Here is a 27,758-nt window from a genome sequence, read left to right as displayed (position 1 = left end):
AGGATGTCATAGAGAGGATTCAAGCATCAAATGAGTGCTTGGGAGAGATAACATTTTTTATTATTAATTTTTATTTTAAGTTCCAGGATACATAACATTTATGTTTTCCATATATTCACCAATTTCTTCCAGTGAATGTATAACACTTCTGCCAGCCTGATTTCTGAATTAGTTACTTATAGTAAGTTCCAATTTCCGCATTTTCCACGTACTGGCCCTAAAAATAGGAGGAGAAAGGAAAGAAAACATAAAAGAAGAATGTGCCTCTGTCATTCAGATCTTATAACTTACATAAAGAGAGAAGACACACACGCGTGTATCATCCCTTGAATTGCCAGAGAGCCACCTATTTAGAATCTTATCGGGAAGAGATTGAGAAGTGATTTATAGATGGCAGAGGATCTCAAGGTTAGTTCAGATGTGTTAGCTCTCTGCACAAAAGTCCTTTTGTCCCTTCACTATCAAGGTGGTTCTCCAGTTTTAGCAAGCATTGAATCACTTGAAGGGCTTGTTAAATCAACCTCAACTTTCTTATTCAGTAGATTTGGATTAGGGCCTGCAAATTTGCATTTCTAACAAGTTCCCAGGTGATGTTGCTGCTGCTGGTCATGTGATCACACTTTGGGATTCCTGCTCCAAGGCTTATCACTCAATACCATAATCTTCAGTTTATGTGTCTAGCTTCTTCTTTTGAACTGGAACACAGACGATCTTGTCTTCGAATATGCAGGGTCCACCCTATTGTTCCTCAGTAAATTTGTGTGAAGTAAGTAATTTGAAAGAAATGTGTAGTTTTCTAGAAGCACAAAGAGGGAAAGAAACTATGGCAGTCAGCAGGGAAGAATCCTATGTTCTCTCCTCCCACATGTTTGGAAACATGATTCATGCTTGGAGGTGTCTTAGATTAAAAGCAACCTTATGCAAGTACAAATGTGTATACAAATACCCCATTTTATAAGTATGCACACAGGACTACAGTCCCCAAAGGGGCATCAGAATATTTTCTTCTCACCTTTCTTTTTTGTCATTTTCCTTCCTCTTCAGACTGTCACAGCCACTTCATGAAGGAAAATATTCTTTCTTGTATGTTGAATGTAATTTGCCCCTTCCTGGAGTCCATTCCCTTTGGGTTGGCGCTGGCTGAACTTTGCAGTCTTCACTGAAGGGGGAACCCTTTCTCACTGTTCTCTGGGAGAGCAGCCCCTTTGAAGTCACAGCTGGCTTGACTAAACTCATTTCCTCCATCCACAATGTGCCTCTGATGTAGTGTTGGCTGAGGCTCCCTCTTGCCGGCTCCTGCTCTTGAAACACACCCAAGTGCAATGTTCAATGTGAGTGTTTGGCTTGGCTTAAATTTGGCCAAATCATCTGTACTTTGTTTCATTTGAAAGCCTTACTTTTTTCTTGCTCTCTCTTTTTCTCTCTCAACTAGTTCATTCCAGATGTTTTTGATTTGTCTTTTTGTGGTCTACTCCACCCAGTTCCTAAATCAGTAAATCATTTTCGTGCTTCTTCCAAAATCTAAGGAAAGAAAATGCTCAATTAGAGAGAAACTGATTATAGGTCTCATAGAGCTTATACTTGGGGATGGCTGCTCTCCTCAGGAACTACCTTTGAAAGGTAGGAGAAAATGTCTTCCAAATGAGGATCTTAGATTTGGCTTCACCATCCTTTCAACTTTTTAGCATCTGGACTAGGAGAGTAGGCAAAATATTGATATGCTAATATAATGCACGTCCAAGCTCATCCTCTACTTTAAGTCTTGATATATAATTGCTATTCTTGCTTGAAGTCGTTCAATTACTGAAGTGCAAATAGAAGTTCCCATTCTATGAACTCATATGTGGTAGCGATAGAATGTACTAACATATAATATTAATGGCCTTTCTCTCTTTACTGTCACCTTTTACCCTTCTCAGCATTTTGATTGTGATGATGTGGGTAAGGGCAAAGTGTTTGCTTTATTGTTATTATGCAGGGTGAAGAACTTGTCCTTGGTGGAAATCACAGACCTGATAGGCTAGTGAAGGAATTTAGAGAGAAAACTCAGTAGACTCCCTGAATTTGGGAAGAGAGTTTTGGATATATTGAGAGCAAAGATGAGAGATTGAAGGTAGCTGATTGTATAATAAGCTAGAAAAAAGAGAAGAAAATTTTAAGACATTTTGCCATCACAAATGCAATTTCTTTCTGGTGCCTTTTCAGGTGATTTTAGTTAAGATGTACATGTCTTTCCAAGATTTTTTTTGGAGAGGACATGTTTTATCTTTTGGATTTGATATTCATATGAGACATTTCATTCAGGTTGCACCTATAAAATGTTGCGATACTTAGTTTATTTCATTCTGCTGTATCATTATCTGACACCAGGACCCAGCAGAAGGCAAATGGCTTTTAGAGCTATACAGATGCTCTAGTTTTTTCGTGAGAAGAAGAGTTCTAGTTACTCATGGAGTATTGCATTTAATTAGGTTAATTACTCAACTTTTCTGAATCATTTCTTAAAGGTGATTATATTAATATCAAACTTTCAGGACCATCTTAAACATTAAATGAGCTCATTTAAAGTACCTGTCACTGGTAAAATTTGTAACTGGTGTGTTGAACAATCATGAATCATAAAGTGGCATCAAAACACAGCTTCACTTTGATCTTCAACTTTAACTTTGTTATTTAGTTACTCAGTTATCGAGGCCACTGGTTGAAAATGTCGGCAGATTGCATCAATTTTTGGACATTCTTAGATAATAGATAATAGATGATAGAAAATTATCCAATCACTCTGTATATCAAAATCAGATGAGTCAGAAATGTCCAGTAAATGTCAAATTCAACATGGTAATCTAGAAATTAATATTTTAGTCTTCATTCAAAGATTAGACATCTTCCCCTAACCCATTTATTAAGTTAGGCAACCTAAGTAGGCCAGTCTATGTTTGGGAGGATGGGGTATGATTAGTCCCTTCTTTCCACTCACCTTCCTTCCCTTCTTTATTGCATGTTCACCTATTTTCTTAAGCTTGAATTGACAGCCTGTCCTGGGCTGAATGCAGGAAGAGAATTTGGATAGATGTGAGAATTCTGATTTGGCCAGTTGTGAAATGCTTCTTATTTGAGCCTGGCCAATGAGTTCAGCTAACTCTTTCTCTAATGAATATTTCTGTGGGATCTTTAGAGCCTCCTCAACTGAATTTCTTTTAGCAGGATGTCATGGATGTGGGAAGTGTCTTGACTTTTTGTCAGTGTAATCCTGATCCACAGTAAACTCATATTTCTGGCAGTCTACTCAATATATGCTCAATGGATGTCTTTGCCCTGTGGCAGAAGCCCTATTTGGCAGATCTGTATTTAAATGACTGATCTTTCCAGTGAAATTCAATATGAGAAGACTGCAGTGCACACTGAGGGAGGTGCAGTGATTTTCCAGACCCCTATTCCCATCCTGTGATAGCAGGCCATTTCACCTTCTACCATACCTGAATATTCTCCAGGCATATGTTACTCATCAGGCCACAGCATTTCCCCATATTCTCTCCAGAATGCACAAAACATTCTCTTCAGCCAGAGAAACTCTCTTTAATCTTACAGTAAAATAAGGCGGGAGTAGGGGAGAGAGAGATGGCATCAGAGCACAGCTTTTTAAAAACAAACATTCTCCAGAAAAACATTCTTTCTAATCTCTATTCTTTCATCACCCTTTTAACATCTCTGTGGGTTTTAGATCCATATGACTCTCAAACTTACTTTGAAATTTCTGCAGGTGACATAGCACCCCACCTTGGAACTTTTTATCTATTTCATCTTGCTGCTTTAATAAAACCTTCCAAGTTTACATCCTGTTATATACTCAAATGTCACAATTTTTCCATTTTAATGTTACCAAATGAAACAAGGTTTTTGAAAACTGTAGCAATTATAATGCCTTTGGCACACTCTGTGATATACCTAATATGACCATACTCACAGAGATGTATAAGAAAATAATTTTAATTAAATTGAACTCCTCAGGTTTGTCTTAATTATCACATACATAGAACTGTGGTATAGTTGAGTGTTCTATAAATATATGCTGAATTAAAGAAAATGAGTTATCATGAACTCTGACTTTGCCATTTGGCTTTGTAACATGAGGTGAAGCAATACTTCAAAAGATAGTTTCTTATTTATCAAATTGAAATTTTGTTGCTATCACCCATGAGCCCCTGTTATTAATAGCTATAAAAGCCTCAGAATTTTGTCATTCTACACATGGATTTTTCTCATTATAATAGTTTCACACGTGTGCCTCATATGGTCAAGTAGACAGCAAGAGGAATGTGGGTAGGGACTATGAATCACCTGTGTGTTTGCAGGTGTAGATGTAGTCAATAAAGTTTTTCACCTCATCTTCTATAAAGAGCCCAACTGTCCTAGATGAGAGAGGCTAATATGGATCAAAGGCAATGCCAAGGATTCTATTATTGGGTAACCTTTCTAATTGGTGGATGATTAAGAACTGATTAAAGGATATAATGTCACTGTAGTGTTGTCTTTTGGAGTCTCCTCCTTGGTTTCTCTTCTGAACATTATGAAATTTGTGAATTTTGTACATAGATATATAGGCAAAGTAATTTCTGTAGGATTCAGTAATCTACAAGTCCTATGCAGAAGAGCCATCTGTGAAAGCTCAAAGGAGGGAGTGGTCACTTTACCTCTGTGGGGTTAGGAGGAGTTTTCACAGAAGAGAGGAAGTTGGATGAGTCTTAGAGAATGATTAAGCATTTATGAGATAGAAAAGGAAGAAAGAAAGCTGACCTTAGGTAGAGGAAAGAGGAAGCATTGATTATCTCTTCCTTTCTGTGGGATTGGCAATAACTGAGAAAACAATGAAGAATTAGGGATGCAAATATCAGCTTTAGCAATATATACTAACAATAAAAATACACTTACCTATGATACATTATTTCTCTTCTGAGACACACAACCTAGAGAAGCTGTCATATATGTGGATATGGAAATACGTCACAAAATATTCATCGCAGTATTATCTGTAATAGTGAAAAATGAGAGACGATTTAAATATTTATCATCATATATATGCAGCATATTAGTCTGTGGGAGTGCTACAATAAGGTGAATGAGCTAGCAATACATCTATCAATATGAATAAATCCTTACAACATAATATTGAGTACAATAAACTTTTTATAAGAATGTTAATATGATACTCTTCACATTTAAAGTTTATAAATATGCAAAAATCCTAGATATTGTTAAACAATACTTTCATGTTAGTATGAAAACATTCAGTAAAATGATAAACACAAAGTTCAATGGTGGTTCTCTCTGGGCTAGGAAATGTGTGAGAGAAGAATGGGAACAAAAAGATATATACAAATAATATCAATTGTATTGCTAGTGTTAGCTCTTAAGCCTAGTGACAGGGGAATTTTTCTTTATGGTATTCTTTAGAATTATCTGAACATGTTGGATGCCTGAAATATATGTGACATATACCTGTACACAAAAAGTATTTTAAAAAATAAGGCTTATTGCTGACAAATGTACATTGGGACATATGACTTAGGCTCAACACCAAATGGGCTCTCAGTGCTTCCTTCTAAACAAACTTTGCCCCCCATCACAGAGCAGAAAATCTCTACACTACTGACCTTGTCACAGTGCAGCAGGAACAGAGAAAAAAGCATGATCCATGGTCCAGGTAATGAGTCACAGAGGTTGACTAACTTGTTCCCCTCATCCATTAATCAGACAAAACTTTCCTCAGCAGAGGCATGAGTGAGAGGTTGTATTAGTCTGTTCCCATGATGCTATGAAGAAATACCCAAGGCTGAGTAATTTATAAAGGAAAGAAGTTTGATTGATGTGCAGGTCTGCAGGGCTAGAAGCCTCAGGAAACTTACAATCATGGCAGAAGGGGAAACAAACATGCCCTTCTTTATAGGGCGGCAGGAGAGAGAATGCCAAGCAGAAGGGGAACGCCTCTTATAAAACCATCAGATCTTGTGAGAACTCACTCACTATTACAATAACAGCATAGAGGAAACCACCCCCATGATTCAATTACCTCCCACCAAGTCCCTCCCATGACAAGTGGGGATTATGGGAACTACAATTCAAGATGGAATTTGGGTGGGGACACAGCCAAACCATATCTGAGATGGAGGAATGGTCAAAGCTTGTCCTTGTTATTTCTGAGAAAGCAGAAGTTTCTATTATGAGCCCAATCCCTTCCCTTTCCTCTTTAATAGCCTGAGCCCTCAATTACTACTTACATTATTTATTAGAAGATAAGTTTTATTGATATAAAATGTGTCCAAGTTATCTATAGCTATTCTACTATATAAACTAGGGCTGTAGTTAATGTAATTAGATTTCTAAAGAGTTTCATGATTCTTTATTTGGAAAGATAAAGGAAACAAGCACCTCTTGAGTGCCCATCATGGCTAGCCTTTTGTAACCTTGGGAACTGTGATGCCCTGCTCTGACTGTTTCCCTGAAGAAGCATCCCAAATTGCAAACAGCTTATGAAACAAGAGAACCTGATTAGACAGCCTCAGATATGTTCGGGTAACTAGTGTTCCACAAATTACTTGAGAAAGACTGATGGAGAACCAAGAAAAGCCTGGCAAGGTTAGCAATTTTTTAATTCATTCAGACATTGCTCTCACAGGCTTTCGATACAACATATTTTCCCCAAATTGTAATACCTATAGATCACCTTGGGAGGCTCTGCATAAAAAAACATGGCCATGATGGCTGATGAGTGGAGTCTTGAGAGGGAAAAGGGGTATTACTGATTTCCAGAACCTAGTTCTACTAGGTTTCAAGGTCAGGAGCAGAGCCAGTTTGGAATTAGGAATAAGCTGTTGGTTGAAATTAGAGGTGAACTACCATAGTAGTTACCATAGTGAGTTACCGTAGTAGTTACCCCAGTGAACCTTGAATAAGTACCTAAGAGCACTACATGGCATTGAAGTTGGGCATCATGCCCATTCTCTCATCACCAAAGTTCTGTAAAAGAGGAACAAATTGGAACTGTGTTATAAATAATATGACAGTCATGTGAATTATATAAATATTAGTTTTAATTCTATTTGATTTGTTACAGAGTAGATAATAAATTTTTCATCAAGAGAATAAAACAGGAAGATACTATGTCCTTTATGGAGGAAAACCTACCGTGACTAATCTAAGCAATCTATAAGTCCATTCCTAGATATTTCAGTCTAGAAGCAACACTAAGAAAGCCAACAGTCAGACTGGAAGTGCCATATCACAGAAGCTGGAGGTTAGACAATGAGGACTCCAGTCAGGGTTCCCAACCAAACAGGTCTATAATGTTGGGGGAGAAGTTGCTTAAGTTCTCTAAGTAAAATTTTCTGATGTTACTGATCTTAAAGGTGTTCAGTGAGATAATGCATGTAAATAAGTAAGAATATAATGGGTCATTCCAAAGTGGACTTCACTTTTTCCCTTAAAGGTCGCTGCTCGACTTCAAAGCTGAGGATTTGAAGTCAAATCAAATTTCCCATCACCTAGCACCATCTGAGAATTCTAGTCACACACATTCAGAGAGACCTTTCTCATGGTGTTTCTACAATTCTGTTGCCAGTCTTGACTAGGAGGCGGGGGGAAATCATTACAATATTTTGGAAATGCTTATTCAGTTTTTCTTTTTGTCTAGTGGTGGGTGGATTTAAGTTATTTCTCTGAACACATCTGCCCTGAATTTGCATACATAATGAAAATGATTGTTTGTTAAAATGTTTTGTTTTGTGTGTGTGTTTAAATTTTTATTTTGAAATATTTTGTTGTGGCTGAAATACATGCTTTCCTAAGAGGAATTCCCTTATGAAAAAAAAAATGTGGATAACCCATAGGGTATGGCTGCTCAGAGAAAGAACACAAGACTAGAAATATTCATAATTCCAGCAATTCCCAGCTGTGGGGAGGAAGGAGTCAATTATCATTTAAACAAAATGTTTATTGAGGTGTAGTTATATACACAAGTCTTAAACGTAAAAATTAATAGATTTTATGTATGGAATATTCTCTTTCTTTTTAAACTTTAGATTCAGTGGGTATACATGCATGTTGTTACATAGGTATATTCCTTCATGTTGAGGATTGGATTTCTAGTTAACTTGTAACCAAATACTAAACATAGTACCGAATACGTAGTTTTTCAACCTTCATCTCCTTCCCACTCTCTCCCCTTTTGGAGTCCTCAGGGTCTCTTTCCATTATTATGCCCATGTGTACTTATTGTTTGGCTTCTACTTAGTGAAAACATGAGGTATTTGATTTTCTGTTTCTGAGTTGTTTCACTTAGGTTAATGGCCTCCAGCTCCATCTGCATTGCTATGAAGGACATGATTTCACTCATTTTATGGCCGCATAGTATTCCATGGTGTATATATACCACAGTTTTTAAAATCCAATCAACCATTGATGGACACTTAGGTTGATTCCATGATTTTGCTGTTGTGAATAGTGCTGCAGTAAACTCACAGTGCAGGTATCTTTCTGATAAAATAATTTATTTTCCTTTGAGTATATATCCAGTACTGGGATTGCTGGGTCAAATTGTAGTTGTAGTTTTAGTTCTTTGAGAAATCTCCATACCGTTTTCTACAGTGGCTGAACTAATTTACATTCCCACAAACAGTCTATAAGAATTCCATTTTCTCCATATCCTTGCCAACATCTGTTATTTTTTGACTTTTTAGTAATAGCCATTCTGACTTGTGTGAGATGGTATCACATTGTGGTTTTAATTTGGATTTCTCTGATGATTGGTGATGTACATTTTTTCATATGTTTGTTGGCCACTTGAATGTTTTCTTTTTAGAAGTGTTTGTTCATGTCCTTTGCTCACTTTTTAATGGGGTTATTTGGTTTATTGCTTGTTGATTTATTTATTTCTAATAGATTCTGGATATTAGTCCTCTGTCAGATGCATAGTTTGCAAGTATTTCCTCCCATTCTGTAGGCTGTGTTTAACCTGTTGATTATTCCTTTTGCTGTGTGGAAGGTTTTTAGATCAATTAAGTCCCATTTATCTATTTTGTTTTTGTTGTGATTGCTTTTGAGAACCTGGTCATAAATTCTTTCCCTAGGCAAATGTCCATAAATGTTTTTCCTAGGTTTTCTTCTTGGAATTTTATAAGTTTACACCTTACATTTATGTCATTAATCAATCTTGAGGGCTTTTTTTTAATAATGTGAGAGATAGGGGTCCAGTTTTATTCTTCTGCCTACAGTTTGCTAGTTTTTCCAGCACCCTTTATTGATTAAAATCTCTTTTTCCCTATTGTTTATTTTTGTTGACTTTGTTGAAGATCAAATAATTGTAGATTTGTGGCTTTATTTCTGGGTTCTCTTTTCTGTACCTTTGATCTCTTTCTGTCTGTTTTTATACTAGTACCATGCTGTTTTGGTTACTAAAACCTTGTAGCTTAGTTTGAAGTCAGGTAATGTAATGCCTCTGACTTTGTTCTTTATTCTCAGGATTGCTTTGGCTATTTAGGCTTTTTTTTTTGGTTGGGCCCTATATAAATTTTAGGGTTTTTTTCCCCTAATTCTGTGAAAAAATGACATTGGTAATTTCATAGGAATTGCATTGAATCTATTGATTACTTTGGGAAATAGAGTTATTTTAATGATATTTATTCTTTCTATCCATGAGTATGGGATGTTTTTTCATTTGGTTCATCTATGATTTCTTTCATCAGTGTTTTGTAATTCTCCTTGCAGAGGTCTTTAACCTCCTTGATTAAATGTATTCCTAGATATTTGATGGCTTTTTTTGTGGCTATTGTAAATGAGATTGAGTTCCTGATTTGGTTCTCAGCTTGAGCATTATTGGTGTATAGAAGTGTTACTGATTTTTGTGCATTCATTTTGTATCTTGAAACTACCGAAGTCATTTATCAGGTCTAGGAATCCTTTGGAGGAATCTCTAGAGTTTTCTAGGTATATAGTCATGTCATCAGTGAGTAAGACAATTTTACTTCTTTTCCAATTTGGATGACTTCTGTTTCTTTCACTTGACTGATTGCTCTGACTAGAACTTCCAGTACTGTGTTGAATAGGAGTGGTGAGAGCGGGCATCCTTGCCTTGTTCCAGCTATTAGGGGGAATGCTGTCAACTTTTCCCCATTCAGTATGATGTTGGCTGTGGTTTTGTCATAAATAGCTCTTATTGTTTTGAGGTATGTTCCCTCAATGCCTAGTTCATTGAGGGTTTTTATCATGAAGGGATTTTGCAATATTTTCAATACCAAAGAGGGGGCCTTCATTTCACTTCCTACGTCCATACCTGTTCCAACCTCCCTGAAATCAGGTAAGCAATATTCTGACTACTATCACCACAATTTAGTTCTTGACTTTTATGTAATTTAAGTATACAAAAATAGTGTGTCCTTTCTTGTAGGTATCTTCTTTCTCTCATTCATTGCTTTGCCTGTGAAACCCAATGGTAATATTGTTTGTAGTAAATGTTCTGTTTTATTGTTGCATAGTATTCCATTTTATGAATTTGCTGCAACTCATTTATCCATTCTACTATAGATAGACATTTGGATTGTTCTAGTTTTTAGTTACTATAAATAAAATGTTTTGAAATTCTTATACTTTGAGTGGGGTTCAAAATGAAAGAAGGCTCTGCAACAGGTCCAGGCTGCTGTGCAAACTGCTCTGCCACCTGGGCCATATGAGCTAGAAGATATGATTCTTAAAGTGTCAGTGCTATATAGGGATGCTGTTTGCAGTCTTTGGCATACCCCTATAGTTGGATTGCAGCACAAGTCCTTGGGATTACAGAACAGATCCCTGCCATCCTTCACAGATGATTACTCTCCTTTTGAGACACAGGTTTTTTGGCCTGCTACTGGTGTTGTAACTGAGTCTTTAAAAGACATTTCAATTTCTATCAAACTGCCTACTTTAAGATGGTGGGGAACAAGATAAGACTAGTGAATCCTATTAGCGTGGTCCTATTGCCAAACATCTTTGCCCATGAAGTGAGTTCCTTGATCAGAAGTAGTGCTGTGTGTAATAATGAATGTAGGTAAGGCATTCCATGGATGGTAGTTTTGGCAGAAGCATTATGTGTAAGGAAAGCAAATCTCTATTCATAGTAAATGTCTATTCCAGTAAGAACAAAATATTGCCCCTTTTATGATGGAAGCACTCCAATGAAATTAACCTACCCCAAGGAAATGTGCCATATTAGGGATCCTGTGTTAGTCTCTGTTGCTGGAAGATTGAGCACTCAGCAGTGGCCATAGCGAGACTGACCTTACTGAGTAGAAGTCCATGTTGCTGAGCCCATGCTTATCCTCCACTTCTGCCACCATGGCCAGTTTGTCATGAGCCCATTAGGCAATGACAAAGTGGCTGGGGAAAGAAGCTCACTAGTATCTACAGAACTATGAACATCCTGTTCATTTGATTATTAACATCTTTCTCTGCCTAGGTCACTGTTTGGTGAGCACTCATATGGGACATAAACATCTTCATTTTCTTGCAATTCAGAGAGGTCCATCTACATGCCTCTTCCCCTGACCTCCTTGTCACCATCTTACTTCCAAGTCTGTGACTGCAACTGGAATTTACACCACTGGCTTTCCTGATTCTTAGGGCTTTGGACTTGGACTGAAGCTACAGCATTTACTCTCCTGGGTCTCCAACTTGCCAACTGCAGATTTTGTGGCTTCTCAGCCTCCATACTGTGTGAGCCAATGCCTTATAGTAAATCATGTACATACATACATGCATATTACATACGTATGTACATACATTTATACACTTACAGATAAAATATTATATTGGTTTGTTTCTCTAAAGAACTTAGAACAATACAAATTTTGGTAGGCAAATACGCTCATTTACCTATGCTGAGGAATGGAATTGCAGGGTCGTAGCATAGACATATGTTTAGTTTTAGAAGTAGACAGTTTCAAAAGGTTTTTCAAAGTGACAGCTTTCATTTAAGGGGAAAAAGTGATTTTGTTTTCTTTGGGGAGGGAGAAAAAGAGAGCAAGAGATGCTATTGGACCGTATCTTTATAAGTTTCACATGAAACAATGTGATTATGTTTCTCAGATGCTCTCTGTGTTAGGTAGAAGAGGTGGAGAGAATTTTTGTTTTTAGGGAAAATAACCCAAGGGAGGATACTAAGACCCTTTCTTCCTTTTGATTCTTCTTGTTTGCTGCCTTTTGGTAAAGACATAGATCACAGCCTACAGATGGACGAATAAAATAGAGATGTCAAATGAAATCACAGAGCTAAACTGTAAATAACCCTGATGTTTTAATACTCAATCAAACTACAGAAAGATCTGGGGTTACTTTTTCTTAGATCTGCTGTGGGGAAAGAAAGAAAGGAACAAGATTAGTGACAGAGATTAGTGAAGAAACTACATAATTATACCTGTGTCTCTTTCTTTCAAAGCTTAGAATGTACCATGTTAAATACAGTGTCTAGTAAGAATCAATGTTTACTTTGGAAGAAAAATTGTTTCTTGAGGATTCAACTTCCAAAACTATACCACAAAAGAGATAACAAACGTAAGAATCTACTTTATGGTTGCCTTGTAAAAGGAAAAGCAACTTCGGTTAACCTCTCTTTAGGAACCAGGTTATCTATTGCCATGATACTACAAATCACTATCTTGTTAATTATTCACATATGTTCTTGTTCAGACCTTGATGAGTATGTGTTCTGAATATTTACAGGTGGCAATCAATCCCTCTCAGTCATTACAAATTTCTCTTAGGATCAGCAATATGAGTACATTGTCAGCTGCAGGCTTTAGAAGGCATCTAACTATTATATAGGGCTTTGGGGGTATTTTTAAATTATTTGGTTCTATGCCCAAGCCAAATGGGGATCTGGCAACTACCTGCCTTGTGATCAGTGCAAACATATACAGCAGATAATTCAGGTTCTCACAGGAAGAGCTAGATAAACATTTTGTAATGTGAACTCAGGCATATCACTCTCCCTCGTTGGCTCTCAGCCTTTTTATCTGGCAGAAATGGAGGTTGGAGGAGATAATCTCTAAAGGCATCTGCCAGCTCTAATGCTCGATGACTTTATAATTTTCATCTGGAAATGTGGTTATTTTACCAGTAGATCTCAGAGACCTGAATTGTCAATATTTATCAAAAAAAGCTAATCAGTTCAACTAGACAAATAGTGTGTGACCACTAGTGGGCTGACACTGTTCAAAAAAAATCAAGAAAAAGTTGTGGAATAAATTGATGAATAAATAAATGCATGCATCAACACAGAAGACACTACAAAACCAGAATGACAAATTTGTCTGAAAAATAATTACTATACTTAGTTGAATGAAATACTAAAACCGAGTGCCAGCAGATCTCTGAGTAACTTTCCTGAAATCTCAGATGCCCTCTGATTACAGTGCTCAGTGTGGTATAGAGGGAAAGAACATGGGGTCAGAAGATCTGATATCACTTCTTGACCTTGCCACCTATCAGCACTGTGACGTTGGGAAAATCACATAACCTCTTTGAAGCTGACTCATTAGCTCTCAAAGACTTAGTTGAACTTGATAGTTTAACTATCAAAGAGATAATTTCTTAGTGATCCAAGAATTGATGATATTGTGAAGATAAGGTTATTTTACAAACTGAAAATAACTATTCAAGTTTTTACTTCGTATAATTAATAAACAATGTGATTTGAAAACAGAAGGGAATTAATGCAAGAATTAGGACCAGCAGATATCAAGGAGTCTTGACAAAAATGACATTTGGCAAAATAACTATGTTTTTAGTCCTTTCCATTTTCTTGTATGAATCAGGCATAAATTAAGGAATTCAACACAAATTGAGTATTTATTTTATGCCAGGGCCTTTCTACATTTTAAAGATGCAAAAGTACCCATATGTGATTCTTTTAAAAATTATTTTCATTTTTATTTTTTGTAGGTACACGGTAGGTTTTATTTATGGGATACATGAGATGTTTTGATACAGGCATGCAATATGAAATAAACACATCATGGGCCAGGTGCGGTGGCTCATGCCTGTAATCCCAGCACTTTGGGAGGCCGAGATGGGCGGATCACGAGGTCAGGAGATCAAGACCATCCTGGCTAACACAGTGAAACCTTGCCTCTACTAAAAATACAAAAGATTAGCTGGGCATGGAGGCGGGCGCCTGTATTCCCAGCTACTCGGGAGGCTAAGGCAGGAGAATGGCATGAACCCGGGAGGCGGGGCTTGCAGTGAGGCCACTGCACTCCAGCCTGGGCGACAGAGTGAGACTCCATCTCAAAAAAACAAAAACAAAAACAAAAACAAAAATAAGCACTTCATGGAGAATGGGATGTCCATCCCCTCAAGCATTTATCCAATTGCACTCTTTCAGTTATTTTAAAATGTACAATTAAGTTATTACTAACTTGTAGTTCTTGATCTTATAAAGATCACAATCTTGTGGGATTCCTACATATTTGCTGAAAACTCTCTCTGTTTCAGGCAACTGTTAGGTTCCAACAATATAGTGGGGAACATGGAAGGCACTGACCTTGTCTTGAAGAGTTTACATTCAGGCATAAAAGATAGACCTTCAGACAATCAATTTCAAGACAATGCCATAACTGCTATGATAAAGGACTTATGAGTTGTTAAGGGAAGCCATTTGAGGGGTAGTTAGACTAATGCGGAGAAAAGGGGAGAGTGTTTAGAAGTGGTGTAAATCAGTGCTCCTCAAAGCTGAGATGCATAAGAATCACCTGCGGATCTTGCTACAATGCAAATTCTGAACCAATAGGACTGGGGTGGAACCTGGGACTCGGCATTTCTAACAAGCTACCAGGTGGTGTTGATGCTTCTGACCAGTGACTTGCAATGAGCCTTGTGGATATAGGAAACACAATAAGTTTAAAAATAAGCCATTCATTTGACATCTCTGACATGACTTTGCCTGGTTGATCTTTCTTTCTAGAGAAAACAAACAAAATAAAAGACCAACTTTTTAGCTTCCTTCCAATGATTCTCAAAGTTCTAAAGAGGTATGCTCTCTAGGGAGGCATATCTAAACTATCAAATTTTTTTTAAAAACTAAGCCCACTCCAAGCCCTTGGTGCTCCCTTTTCCTGATAATCACCACTACAGTAAGCCCCTTTAAATAAGAGATTGTTGAAACTGTGTATCCTAAAGACATGTCGAGATTGAAAACCACCACTACCGTTTATCACCTGGCACAGATTTAGAGTTTGATAATCTCCATGAAGTCTGTTGATAGTTTTTTTTCTTTAATTCTTCTCACTTTAGAATATCATTATGGAAATAATGTTAAAAGTCCCTCTTTTCTTTCTTCTCAGGGTGTAGGGATGGGTGGGCAAATTGACTGTCAGTTTGAAGGATACACAGTGATGTGAATTACATTGAACCCAGACAATTATCATAGGATGGACAATGTACTGGGTATACCCGTAGACAAAGTCTGGGTACCCAACTCTCGCTTTGTGTGGCTTTAAACAAATTAGTTAATTTCTCTGAGTCTTGATGCCTTACCTTAAAAAACGGTAAATAGCATATGGCTCAGAGAGTGGGCGTTAGGATCCAGTGAGATGATGTGGGTAAAACAGTTGGCAGGTAATAGGTTTTCCATCAATGTTAGTGTCCTTTCTCTTCCTCATTCTATTTGGAGTAAGAGAAGTTTGGATTTAGTGTTCTCCTTCCACAATTTTTTAAGAAAGTCTTCATCTCTATCAAATAGAAGGTATGGAAAACATCTGCTGCTTTTCCTTTCTCTTGACACCAAAAATGTGGTGTGAAAGTCAAGGCAATGAGAAAGATCACCTAAGTCTTCACAATTCAAATGGAAGGGTCTTTGTTTTTTCTGTGAGTTAGGACTCATTATTGAGTTCTGTCCTTTATCTATAGAGATATCTATTCATGAAGTTAGCTCACTATGACTGAAGAAAATTCAGCGATTGGGAGATTCAAGAAGATCATTAGATATTTAGTTAAATTTTTTCCCTGTTACAGTTACACTACAATAAAATGGGTTATCACAGGAGCTAGTGGATTTTCTAACACTGAAGGGTAAACAGATATTGAATATGGATTGTTTAATTAACTAATTCATGCATCAAAAACCTGTTGGACACCTTCTAAGTGTCAGACACTGTGTTCAGCGTTAGGGAAAAGGGTTGGGATTACACACATGATGACCGATATGACCAGATTGAGAACTTGGATCTCCTTCAAAAAATATTCTTCATTTTAAAAAATATTTATTTAGCAGGGTGGGTAGAAACTTTCTATAGATAAAGCTTCTATGTGTAATAGATAGGACTCATTACATGTTCCATAAAATATTTTACTCATTAGAAATTGTTTTAAAATTATAATTTTCCAAATTAGCCTACCTTATTGTGGTCATATTGAAGAGTTTAAATGTTAGATATGTTAATAAAGACACAAATTATAGTCAATAGAACTAAGTCATGCACTATTTGGTCTGGGGATGTAGCTGATTTTGCTGATGCCAGATAGTGCTCAGTTGGCCACCCCATAATAATGGTGAAGCCAAGACTGCATGCTATAATTTATACATGCCTGCAGCAAAAAAGTCTAACAGACAGAGAGTAAGGCTGGTGAGGAATGTTTTAACCTTTCACTCGGGTATGCTATCTCCTTGCAAAGCAGTAGGGCCAGTTTCCATTTTCTAGCTGTGTAAGATTAGTGTGAATAAATATAATCCAATGAGTGCGATATTTCCGGTTTGCTCTAGGTTTCACTATACCTTATAGATTACATATCCCAAGAGGCTGCCTGACTAACTTCTTAATATTTCTTGTTCCCAAGTAGCCTAATGATTCATAAAAGCAGGCGTGAAAACAAATAACCACAAGCTATTGTGATAAATGTGATTATTTCTGTTTGGCATCTGGTCGAGGAGAAACAAGGTGAGGCCACAGAGTGGTCAAGTGGTCACCAGGACTCTATGGGAGCTGAGCTAGATTTGAAAGGACTTCTAACAATAAACAGAAAATATCTAGGCATTTCAGGTACAAGACAGGCTATTGGTTTATGTTATTGTTTCTTTCTTTTCAACAAGATCATTTTGGCTGATTTTATAGACTGTGTCTGTATAGAGGGAAAGCTAGTGATGAAATTCTAAAAAGGAAGTAATTTACTGTTTTCTCAAGAGAATCTATTGATTTTTTTTTTAAAAAAGGGGAGCCATATTCTGCCATTTGAGATGTAAGAGCTCTTTCCTCCAGAATGTTTTTAAAGTCAGAATAGGATTCACTTGGAACCTTTTGTCTAATAATATCTGTAATTAGATGATGTGGAAATGCTTCCCCTATTTTCACTTGCCTAGTTCATTTGGCCTGTGATGAGTATATAGGACTCATTATACCCCAAATACCTAAAAGAAGGAGAATGAGGTTTTGGGGATATAATGTCTTTGTGCTTACTCCCCAAGGATTTCTTTTTAAATCAGTAAAGAGAATATTTACTAAGTGTTGGTGGTGAGCCTTGAATTATGCCCAGTATTATAGGAGTTCCTCTCTCGCCCCAAACTCATTCTACCTCATCCAGTCCTATCTCAGTGAATGGTACCTGTTTCTACACAGCTGCCTAAGACAGAAATTCAGGACCCAACCTGCACTGATCCTTCTTTCTTACCCGCTGTGTTAAGTAAGTACTGTTGATCGGACAGCTATGCTACCTGTCCTTTACTGATAAATGCTGAATTACCCTCGTGTAAGTACCTTAATCACTTTGATTATGAAAATTACTTTTTTAATTATAAAAATTTCAAAAATACATAAAATTATAGTGTAACATAAAAACATCGCTATACTCCCCGCCCTATTATTAACAAAACTTAACATCTTTTATACATACTTCAAACTTTGTTAAAAATAAAACATAGGCCGGGTGCGGTGGCTCACACCTGTAATCCCAGCACTCTGGGAGGCCAAGGCAGGTGGATCAGGAGGTCAGGAGATTGACCATCCTGGCTAACCGTCCTGGCCAACATGATGAAGCCCCGTCTCTACTAAAAATACAAAAAATTAGCCAGACGTGGTGGCAGGCGCCTGTAGTCCCAGCTACTTGGGAGGCTGAGGCGGGAGAATGGCCTGAACTTGGGAGGCAGAGCTTGCAGTGAGCTGAGATGGCACCGCTACACTCCAGCCTGGGCGACAGAGCGAGATTCCCTCCATTTCAAAATAAATAAATAAATGAATACATACATACATAAATACATACATAAATAAAATACAACATAAACATAGTTGAAATTCCATTTAGTATTTATCTGTTTCCTTTACCCTCTTTCTTCCTTCATCAGAGACAGAGATTGCGCCACTGCACTCCAGCCTGGGTGACAGAGGGAGACTCCATCTCAAAAAAAATAAAATAAAATAAAACATAAACATAGTTGAAATCCCATTTAGTATGTATCTGTTTCCTTTACCCTCTTCCTTCCTTCATTAGAGATAAGAAGCCATGCAGTTGTTGTACATTCTTCTATTTTATGTTTTTAAAAATATTTATTACACATACATGTATTTATAAATAGCATTTGATATTCTGTGTATTAAAATATATCAATATGGTATTAAACTGTATACATGATCTTATCATTACAACTTTTTCTTTTATGTTTCAATCTTAATGAAATTCTTTATTTGTCATCATTCTGGCTCATTCTAGCTTCCTCCCCTTGCTTATATGTAAACTCCTGGTCCAACAGCAAGAAACCTGACTCTTACCTTTGAGATCTATTTACTTAATTGTTCAATTTCAGTATACAGACAGTCCCTGACTTACAATACTTCAACTTATGATTTTTCAACTTTATCATGGTGAAAAAGCAATGAATTCAGTAGAAACTATACTTCAAATTTTGAATTTTGATCTTCTCTTGGGCTAGCAGTAGGTGTATTAAAAGTATCTTCAACTTACGGTGTTTTCAACTGACACTGGGTTTATCCAGGAGTAACCCCACTGTAAGTCTAGGAGCATCTGCAATGTTTCATAATAACAGAATTGTTAACCTGCATCTCTGTGGGAAGCAACTTTATCAGCTAGAGCACAGTACTTAAGTACAATTTATTTTGCCTTTCTACAGCATCTACTTGTTTCCAAAGTTATTTGGGTCAGCATTTTCCTCCACCCACCACTTAAAACTGATTTGTTTCATACATTTGAAATGTATGAAAAGCCAGAAATCCAGGACCCACCCTGGCCTGCTCCCTTTTTCTCACCTACTGTGTTAAGGTAAGTACTGTTGATTGGCCAGCTATGATACCTATCCACTTTTACTGATAAATGGTTACATTTGTAATGATTACATTTGTAATGTATGAAACAGAATCTTTTGTCACAGCTGCATTCCATTGGAGTGTCTGGAACCTGTAAATAATTTTTAAAATTTGCATGCCTAAAGGTTTACTCTTTGTGCCATAAGGTTCTGTGGATTTTGCCAAATACATGGTGTCATGTATCCACCATTACTGTATCATAAAAAATAGTTTTACTACCCTACAAAATCTTCCATGCTTTACCTATTCGGGCCTCCCTTGGCAACAACTGCCCTTTTTATTGTTTCTATAGTTTTACCTTTTCCAGAAATCCATACATTTGAACCACGCAGAATGTAGCCTTTTTAGATTGCCTTTTGTTTGTAACTTAGCAATTTGTATTTAAGTTTTGTCCACATCTTTTTTTGTGGTTAAATAGCTTATTTAGTTTTACCCCTGAATAATGTTTCATTATATAAATGTACTGCAGTTTGTTTAACCATTCATCTATTGAAAGACCTCTTTGCTGCTTTTAGTTCTTGGATGTTATAAATAAGACCGTCATAACATTTATATGTATATTTTTCTGTGGACATAAGTTTTTGAGCCAGTTGGATAAATACCTAGGAGTGTGATTGCTGGCTCATATGGTAAAGCTAACCTTTCACATTGCTGGTGACAGTATACATTTCTACAAGCTTTCTATAAAGTACTTGCACATTATTTCTCAAAAGCCTTCATATTCTAATACCATTTGACTCACTATTTCTATTTCTAGGAATGCATCCAAAGGAAATAATCACAAATGAGAATAAATATTTATGAAAAAATATGTGCATTATTTATGAGAGTAGGAAACTGGAAACCACCTAAAAATCCAGTACTATGAAAATGAATGTGTAAATTATTATATATGCTCATGAGAAGAAACAGAATGTAATTATTAACAATTATATTTGTAATGTTTATTAATGATAATAAAAATACTTATTAAATGAGGAAGGTAGATTATAAAATTATATTATCTCAGTTATATAGAGAAAAATGCTTAGCACAAGTCTGAAAGAAAACATGTCTAAATTATTAATGTCAGTTTCTTCTGGGTATAAAGAAGAGGTGATTTTCTTCCCTGTTTTGCTGAAGATGTCTGTAATTTCTGATTCTTACTCTAAGTTTTAAAGTATTTGATAATCCAGAAGGGGTTTTAAAGTCATTTTAGTAGGGTATTTTGGAAGTAGAGACAGTTTTACACCCAAATCCAAATACTAACTCCCCCCGTAAAGTCTCCCAAAGTCCTCTTAATTAAAAAATAACTCCCTACTTGATTAATTTTACTCATGTATTAATTTATCCATTTAGCAATCTGTATGTCATATGCAATGCTTGTGATAGGCACATATTCTATGCCCTAAGGGAGTCCTGGATTTATAGGACAGGAAAGCACATAATTTTTTTTCATTATGAGATTTGTGCAGCTTTATGATGAATAGCCAAAAACTGGAAACAACCCCATTGTTTATAAATGGATAAATGGATAACAAATTATGATACATTCATACAATGAGATATTACTCAAAAATAAAAAATATCGAACAACTAATATACACAAAAACATGGATGACTCTTAAAAATTTTATGCTGAACAATGGAAGTTAAAGGATAGTGAAATAATTCTTCAAAGGAAAGCACGTAATTAACAGAGTGATTTAAAAAAGATGCACCACATCTAATGAATGTATTTATACAGTGGCTTGGGACAACAGAGGAAGGAATGACGACTTTGCTTTCCTGAGGAGTTAGAAATATTGAGTTGATTTATAAGAGCTTTCAATGATAGTCACCTGTTAAAGAGTCAGACATGGGAAGGTAGGGATTTGTAATCACAGGTAATAGGGGGTGCAAAGTTCCCAGTAGCTTCTGGGTGGATGGGAGATTAACTACAACTGAGGAGAAGTTAGTTTAATTAGATGAGGGTAGATGATTTACGGACTTGCCTGCCAGGTCATGGTGGTTGGGTTTTATAGTTTTATATTGTGTTAGGGAGCCATTGAAGGTTTGATTTAGTAGGGAATTGATACGACCACTTTCTTATTATTTAAGGTCTGTTTTCCCACAGCACAATCCAGTGTTTGGGATGCATTTTTTTTTTCTTTTTTTTGAGACAAAGTCTCACTCTGTCATCCAGGCTGGAGTGTAATGGCGCGATCTTGGCTTGCTGCAACCTCCATCTCCTGGGTTCAAGTGATTCTCCTGCCTCAGCCTCCCGAGTAGCTGGGACCACAGGTGCATGCCACCATGCCAGGCTAATTTTTGTATTTTTACTAGAGATGGGGTTTCATTATGTTGGCCAGGCTGGTCTTGAACTCCTGACTTCAAATGATCTGCCCACCTTGGCCTCCCAAAGTGCTGGGTTTATAGACGTGAGCCACGGCACCTGGCCTTGGCATGCAATTTTAAACAGGCTTGGTGCTCAACAAATGGTGGTGACAGAAGAGAATTCTGACTTTGGTCAAGTGCAAGTTGTGTCTGAGATGGGCAGAAAAGACCTCTTGCAGGTGTTTGAAAATTGAAAACTAAAACCCAGATATAATTTAGAGCAGGAGTTCTCCATAGCTTTTCATGACTGATCCCATAAAGAGGCTTTTTAGATGCTTTTTACCCCATAATCACTGCACCCCCACAGAACTTGAACACTGCAGATATGCTTTTTATTTATCTAACTTTATGTTTATCTGTGCTTCCCACCGAAGACGATACAATTTTTTTAATCTCTTTCCCTCAAGATCAATTTTTGTCCACTTAGTGGTGATAGGACCCCCACTAAAAGCACATGGGCTGAAACCTTTTTAAAAATTAATTATGGTAAAATGCATATAATGTAGAATTTACCATGTTAACATTTTAAGGGTACATCTCAGTATTGTTAAGCATATTCACATTGTTGTACAGCTAATCTCCAAAAGTCTTTTCTTCTTGCAAACCGAAACTCTATACCCATTATACAACAACTCTCCCTTCCCTCCTGCCCCAGTGCCTGGCAACCACCTTTCTATTTTCTAGCTCTGTAAATTTAACTACTCTCGGTACCTCAGATAAGTGAAATCATATTATATATATGTTTTGTGGCTAGTTTTTATTTTATTTTATTTTTTATTTTTTTTGAGATGGAGTTTCACTCTTGTTGCCGAGGCTGGAGTGCAATGGTGCAATCTCGGCTCATCACAACCTCTGCCTCCCGGGTTCAAGCGATTCTCCTGCCTCAGCCTCCCGAGTAGCTGGGATTACAGGCATGTGCCACCACGCCTGGCTAGTTTTGTATTTTTAGTAGAGACGGGGTTTCTACATGTTGGTCAGGCTGGTCTGGAACTCCCGACCTCAGGTGATCCGCCTGCCTCAGCCTCCCAAAGTGCTGGGATTACAGGCATGAGCCACCACACCCGGTCATGGCTAGTTTTTCTTTACTTAGTATAATATTGTAACTTATGTCAGGATTTCCTTCCTTTTTATGGTTAAATAATATTCTATTATATGTATAGAACCACATTTGTTTCTTCATTCGTATGTTAATGAACACTTGATTTACTTCCTTTTTTTGGATATTGTAAATAATGCTGCTGTGAACATAAATAGGTAAATATCTCTTTAAAACCCCGCTTTCAATTATTTAGGGTTTATACCAAGAAGTGGAATTGCTGTACTATATGGTAATTCTGTTTTCAATGTTTAGAGGAACTTCCATACTGTTCTCCATAGGGAAGTGATTGCACTATTTTACATGTCCATGAACAGTATGCAAGGGTTGCAATTTCTCTCCATCCTTGCTGACATTTGTTATCTTCTTTCTTTCTCTGTCTCCTTCCCTCCCTCCCTTTCTTCTTCTTCCTCCTTTCTTCCTTTCTCTTTCTTTTAATAGTATTCATTCTAATGCATGTCAGGTGGTATCTTATTGTTGTTTTGATTTGCATTTCCCCAGTAATTAGTGATGTTGAACATCTTTTCAAGTGCTTGTTGACTATATATCTTTTTTGGAGAAAGATTTATTTAAATCCTTTGCTCATTTTTTAATTGGGTTATTTGCTTTTGTTGTTGTTGAGTTTTAGAAGGTCTTTATATATTCTGGACAATAACTTCCTATCATATACAGAATTTGAAATGTTTTTTCCTATTCTGTAGATTGCTTTTTCACTCTGTTGTCTGAGTCCTCTTGAAACAGGAAAAGTTCCCTTATCCCCCTCGCAAGGCATGTGATGAGGGTGTGGCTCGCTTCTTCAGTGCCCCACTGCTCATACCCCTAAGTGAGCATGCAGATGGGCAGGTCGTTGCTCCAACACCACGGCAGTGTCTAGGTTTGAGTGTTTACAGCTCCCAAAGCCCCACTGGGCATGTGTTACAGTGTGCTCTTTCAGTTTAGCCATCCATAGGCAGCTTGTGTTAATCAGCTCAATTAGACGTTAATCAGCTCAAAGGACAGAGGCCTTTCTGTATCCCGGGGTTCTTGCCTTAGTGTAACAGAAAAATCGGATCACACTCGGGCTTGGAGAATGAATGCAAGGTTTTACTGAATGGTGGAAGTAACCTTCAGCAGATGGATGGGGAGCCAAAAGGGGAATGGAGTGGGAAGATGGTCTTCCCCTGGAGTCACACCACTCAATGGCTGGGCTCTCCTCTGACCACCCTAGGCCAAATTTCCCTTGGCAGCTGCATCATTTCAATGTCAATGGCCTGCCTGCTGGTGTGTTCCTTTCGACGTCCATCTACTTGTGTGTCTGTGCCTGCTATGGTCTTGAGGTTTTTATAGGCACAAAATGGAGGGTGTGGCGGGCCAGGGTGGTCTTGGAACATGCAACATTTGGGTATGAAAACAGGAGTGACTGTCTTCACCTAGGTCCATTGGCACAGGCCCGAGGGTGGAGCCCTCGCTAGGGACACCACCTGTCTCTACTCAGCACTTACCCTCTCCCTTACTCCCATATCACCTTGATGGAATTAGAGCTTTTAAAAATTCAGTGGATGTTTAGTTTTTCCATGGTCTTTGACATTCTTTCCCTATTTCTTCTTCACCTGGGAACTAGGAGGTTGAAACTTGAATGATGGTATTATAGGCCTGGGCAGACATTGAGATCTAACCTGTACCTGAGATTTGGATTGTGGGGTCTTAGGAAGGTGCTTGATGAAGGATCTTATGGATTTCTGCATCATTCATGGAAAGGTGGATCATGCAAGTCATTCAACCCAAGCACAGCATGATAGGAAGGGTAAATCACACCACCAAACAGAGACAAGAAAGGAAAAGGGGCATGAGAAGATGAGACACAGAAGAGACTGAAAGCAGTCTCTTCTGAATATTCGTGTTTTCACTTCATTCATTAAGGCCATTGGCTATTAACTGTTAGCATGAGGTTGTCTCCACCTTGTCTATATAACCAAGTTTTCAACCTATCTGCCTCACTGGTGTTTTCTGGATGGACATCCAGACAATTTATCTGAGGTTTTCTTTTTATCTAGCAATTTGTGAGGACCAACACTGTGGTCTTTAGCAGGTACAGGTCCAAAGCCAGGAGCTTAATACCTCTCAGAAAGTGAGTAGGTCTTGACTTCACTCTCAATTTATGTATCAACCCATCACCTGTGAGAAGATTAGACTTATTGCAATAGGAGAGAAAAAAATCTTCTCTGTTATTCCTATGGGAGAGAGGTAATCCATTTAAAAATCTTTCTGATGCCATGACCATAAGATTAATGCTTATGTAATCCAGCTTGTTATCTGTCTGCTATGTCTCCTTGTGTCTAGGATAAGTCAATTGAGCTTCACTTCTCTAATTGAAATCACCGTGCTGATGGAGTCTGTCTGTGGAAATGAAAGGTGGCTACCATAATCTGTTGGGAGTTGAATTAATCCTCTGGGAGTGAGGCTGACCTAATTACTCAGAAATACTGGGCTTGCTTTCATTCTGTGGAATACAGCCATGAGAAAGAGGCCAGCATGCCATTTCCTAATCTTTTCTTGAATTGCCTGAAACTCACCTAACATGAAACTGAGAAGCCTTTTCATTTGAAAGTGGTATTTCTTATGTTTTTTATCTTTTTGCTTGAAAGTATTCTTAAACTAAAGAAAGGAGAAACAGAAAAGGTGAAGAAGCCAAGAGGCTGGAGTTTCCTTTTGAATGGATATTCATCCATGAAGCTGTTGATTCTGTTTTTCTGTTCCTCCAGATGTCTACACTTTTACCTCTGCTTGCCTGATACAACCACCACCAGTCACCTCACAGAATAACTCACTCCTTAAGAATCTGATCAGGAATCAGCCTTCCCTGATCACAAACACTGAGTTTAGAAGTCCCTCCACAGTGTCCCCCGTAACCCTGTGCTACCTCACTGCCTCATAGTTTAGTGCCGTTTGTGTACATGCCTATCTTCGTCCATGGATCCAGAACAACTTGTAAAAATGACTGTACTTATCACCTTCAGTATTCAATGACTAAACTATAATTTTAACATATCTGGCAGAATGAATCACTTGGGGATTTCTGCCAACACTACCAATATATTACTCCTAATTTGTAATTATTACTTAGCATGGATTATAGTACCGGCTGTTGGAGAGCCAATGTGGCAGACCCTAAGTGGAATAAAATGTCAGTAGCAGTCTAGGAGCATATATTTATTGGAATAGATCATTCATTCATTTGTTCATTAACTAATTTGTTCATTAAATAAACATTTATTAAGCACTCATGGTTTAGGACGCATTTTGTCCATTTACTCATTCATTTGTTCATTTGACACATTGTTTATTGAAGTGCTATTAAGTGTTAACATTGTGTGTTTATTGGTGAATGTAACAGGCATGTTTCTTCTATGGGAATCTTTTAGGATAGTGGAGATAACAGACAATACAAATGTAAACATACAAATGTAAGTTATGTAAAATGTAAAATTATGAGTTGTGATAAGTGCTTTGCAGGAAACCAAAAATGTGTAATAATAAAGAATAAAAATGAAAAGATAGGAGGAAGATGGGGTATCTTGGGACCTTCCTCTCAATTTTGCTGTGAATCTAAAACTGCTCAAAAAAATAAAGTCTAGGCCGGGCACGGTGGCTCACGCCTGTAATCCCAGCACTTTGGGAGGCTGAGGCGGGCGGATCACAAGGTCAGGAGATCGAGACCATCCTGGCAAACACGGTGAAACCTCGTCCCTACTAAAAATACAAAAAAATTAGCCAGGTGTGGTGGCAGGTGCCTAAAAATTAGCTGGGCGTGGTGGTGGGTGCCTGAAGTCCCAACTACTCGGGAAGCTGAGGCAGGAGAATAGCGTGAACCCAGGAGGCGGAATGAGCTGAGATCGCGCCACTGCACATCAGCCTGGGTGACAGAGTGAGACTGCATCTCAAAAAAAATAAAAAATAAATAAATAAATAAAGTCATCAAAAAATAAAATAAAATAAAAAAAAGAAAGGGTGGTCAGAGAAGCCCTCTCAGAAGAAGAGACAATTAAGCAAGCATTCTTCCAGATGGTAATTTCCTGAAGAACCGAGAGACTGCTGGGGACTGTGCATATAGGTGTACAGTGTGATGCCTCCTGTTAAGAACAGTTACAGAGAATAGAATGTGGGTCAAGAACAAAGAAGGGATTACCAACTCTGATAAGATTCGCCAGGTAAGTTTTCCTAGAAGTGATATTTGAACTGAATCATGAAGAATCATAAGGCATTTTTGAAACCTTCCAGGCAAGAAGATTAATATCCTGCTTAAGCTTCTCTCCCCATGACCTGTATTTCTACCCTCTAGTTTATGCTGCAAGAGGAATCTTTCTAAATCTCATATCTGAATATAAGAATGCTCTAATGAACAGTTTCTCATATACTCTACAGGTAACACAGACCAAATATTAGAGCATGGCGTATTTTGTAACATGGTCTCAATGTTAACAACAGTTCACTCCTTGCCCTCAACCTCATTATTCTTTAGCAGTGGATTCTCAACTGGTCTCCTTCACACATTGCTGGCTATCCCAAGGCATTCTTTCTCCTTGGGCAAACTCCAACTTCTAAGATTCCATTCAAGGTCCAGGTCATCTGGGTGACACCTCTCATCCCTCCTTTCACCCCTACCCAAGTCCTAGGGAGAGTTGACCTCTCCTTTCTCTTGTCCTTCCACAGCATTTTCAATCTACCTCTACTTTGGAAATGATTTCACTACTCCCTAATTATTTTGAGGTTGGTCTCCCTCATGAGACTATTTGCTTCACAATGGCAAGGATTATGTGTTAGTAATCTTTGTATTCCCAGGCTGAGAAAGTACTGTGGTTATATTATAAGTGAACAATCAATGTTTTTTAATTGATTGAAAGAATGAGGGAAGGAAAATGACTTACTGGGTGAATTCTCATGGTAACAGTTTAGCTTAAAGCATATAGGCTGGCATGAGGAACAGAAGGAAACTAAGA

At 37.6% G+C, this 27,758-nt stretch overlaps 2 long non-coding RNA genes across 3 annotated transcripts; one reads left to right on the top strand and one right to left on the bottom strand.

Moving 5' to 3' along the window:
• Positions 1-38: 38 nt before the first annotated feature.
• LOC124902022 (uncharacterized) lies at positions 39-5,023 on the bottom strand. 2 transcript variants are annotated; one of them, XR_007061110.1, is made up of 4 exons: positions 4,930-5,023; positions 1,398-1,521; positions 1,013-1,301; positions 39-217 (listed from the first exon to the last, which is right to left on the bottom strand). It is a non-coding gene; the product is annotated as an uncharacterized LOC124902022 (long non-coding RNA). The 2 variants fall into 2 exon arrangements; XR_007061109.1 differs by having other exon boundaries at positions 39-1,521.
• Positions 1,268-26,041, top strand: LINC00977 (long intergenic non-protein coding RNA 977). The gene is made up of 3 exons (NR_033916.1): positions 1,268-1,331; positions 19,139-19,287; positions 25,102-26,041. It is a non-coding gene; the product is annotated as a long intergenic non-protein coding RNA 977 (long non-coding RNA).
• Positions 26,042-27,758: the final 1,717 nt, after the last annotated feature.

The sequence above is a fragment of the Homo sapiens genome, chromosome 8, assembly GCF_000001405.40.
Source record: "Homo sapiens chromosome 8, GRCh38.p14 Primary Assembly".
NCBI lineage: Eukaryota > Metazoa > Chordata > Mammalia > Primates > Hominidae > Homo > Homo sapiens.
This window is presented reverse-complemented; position numbering and strand designations above follow the sequence as displayed.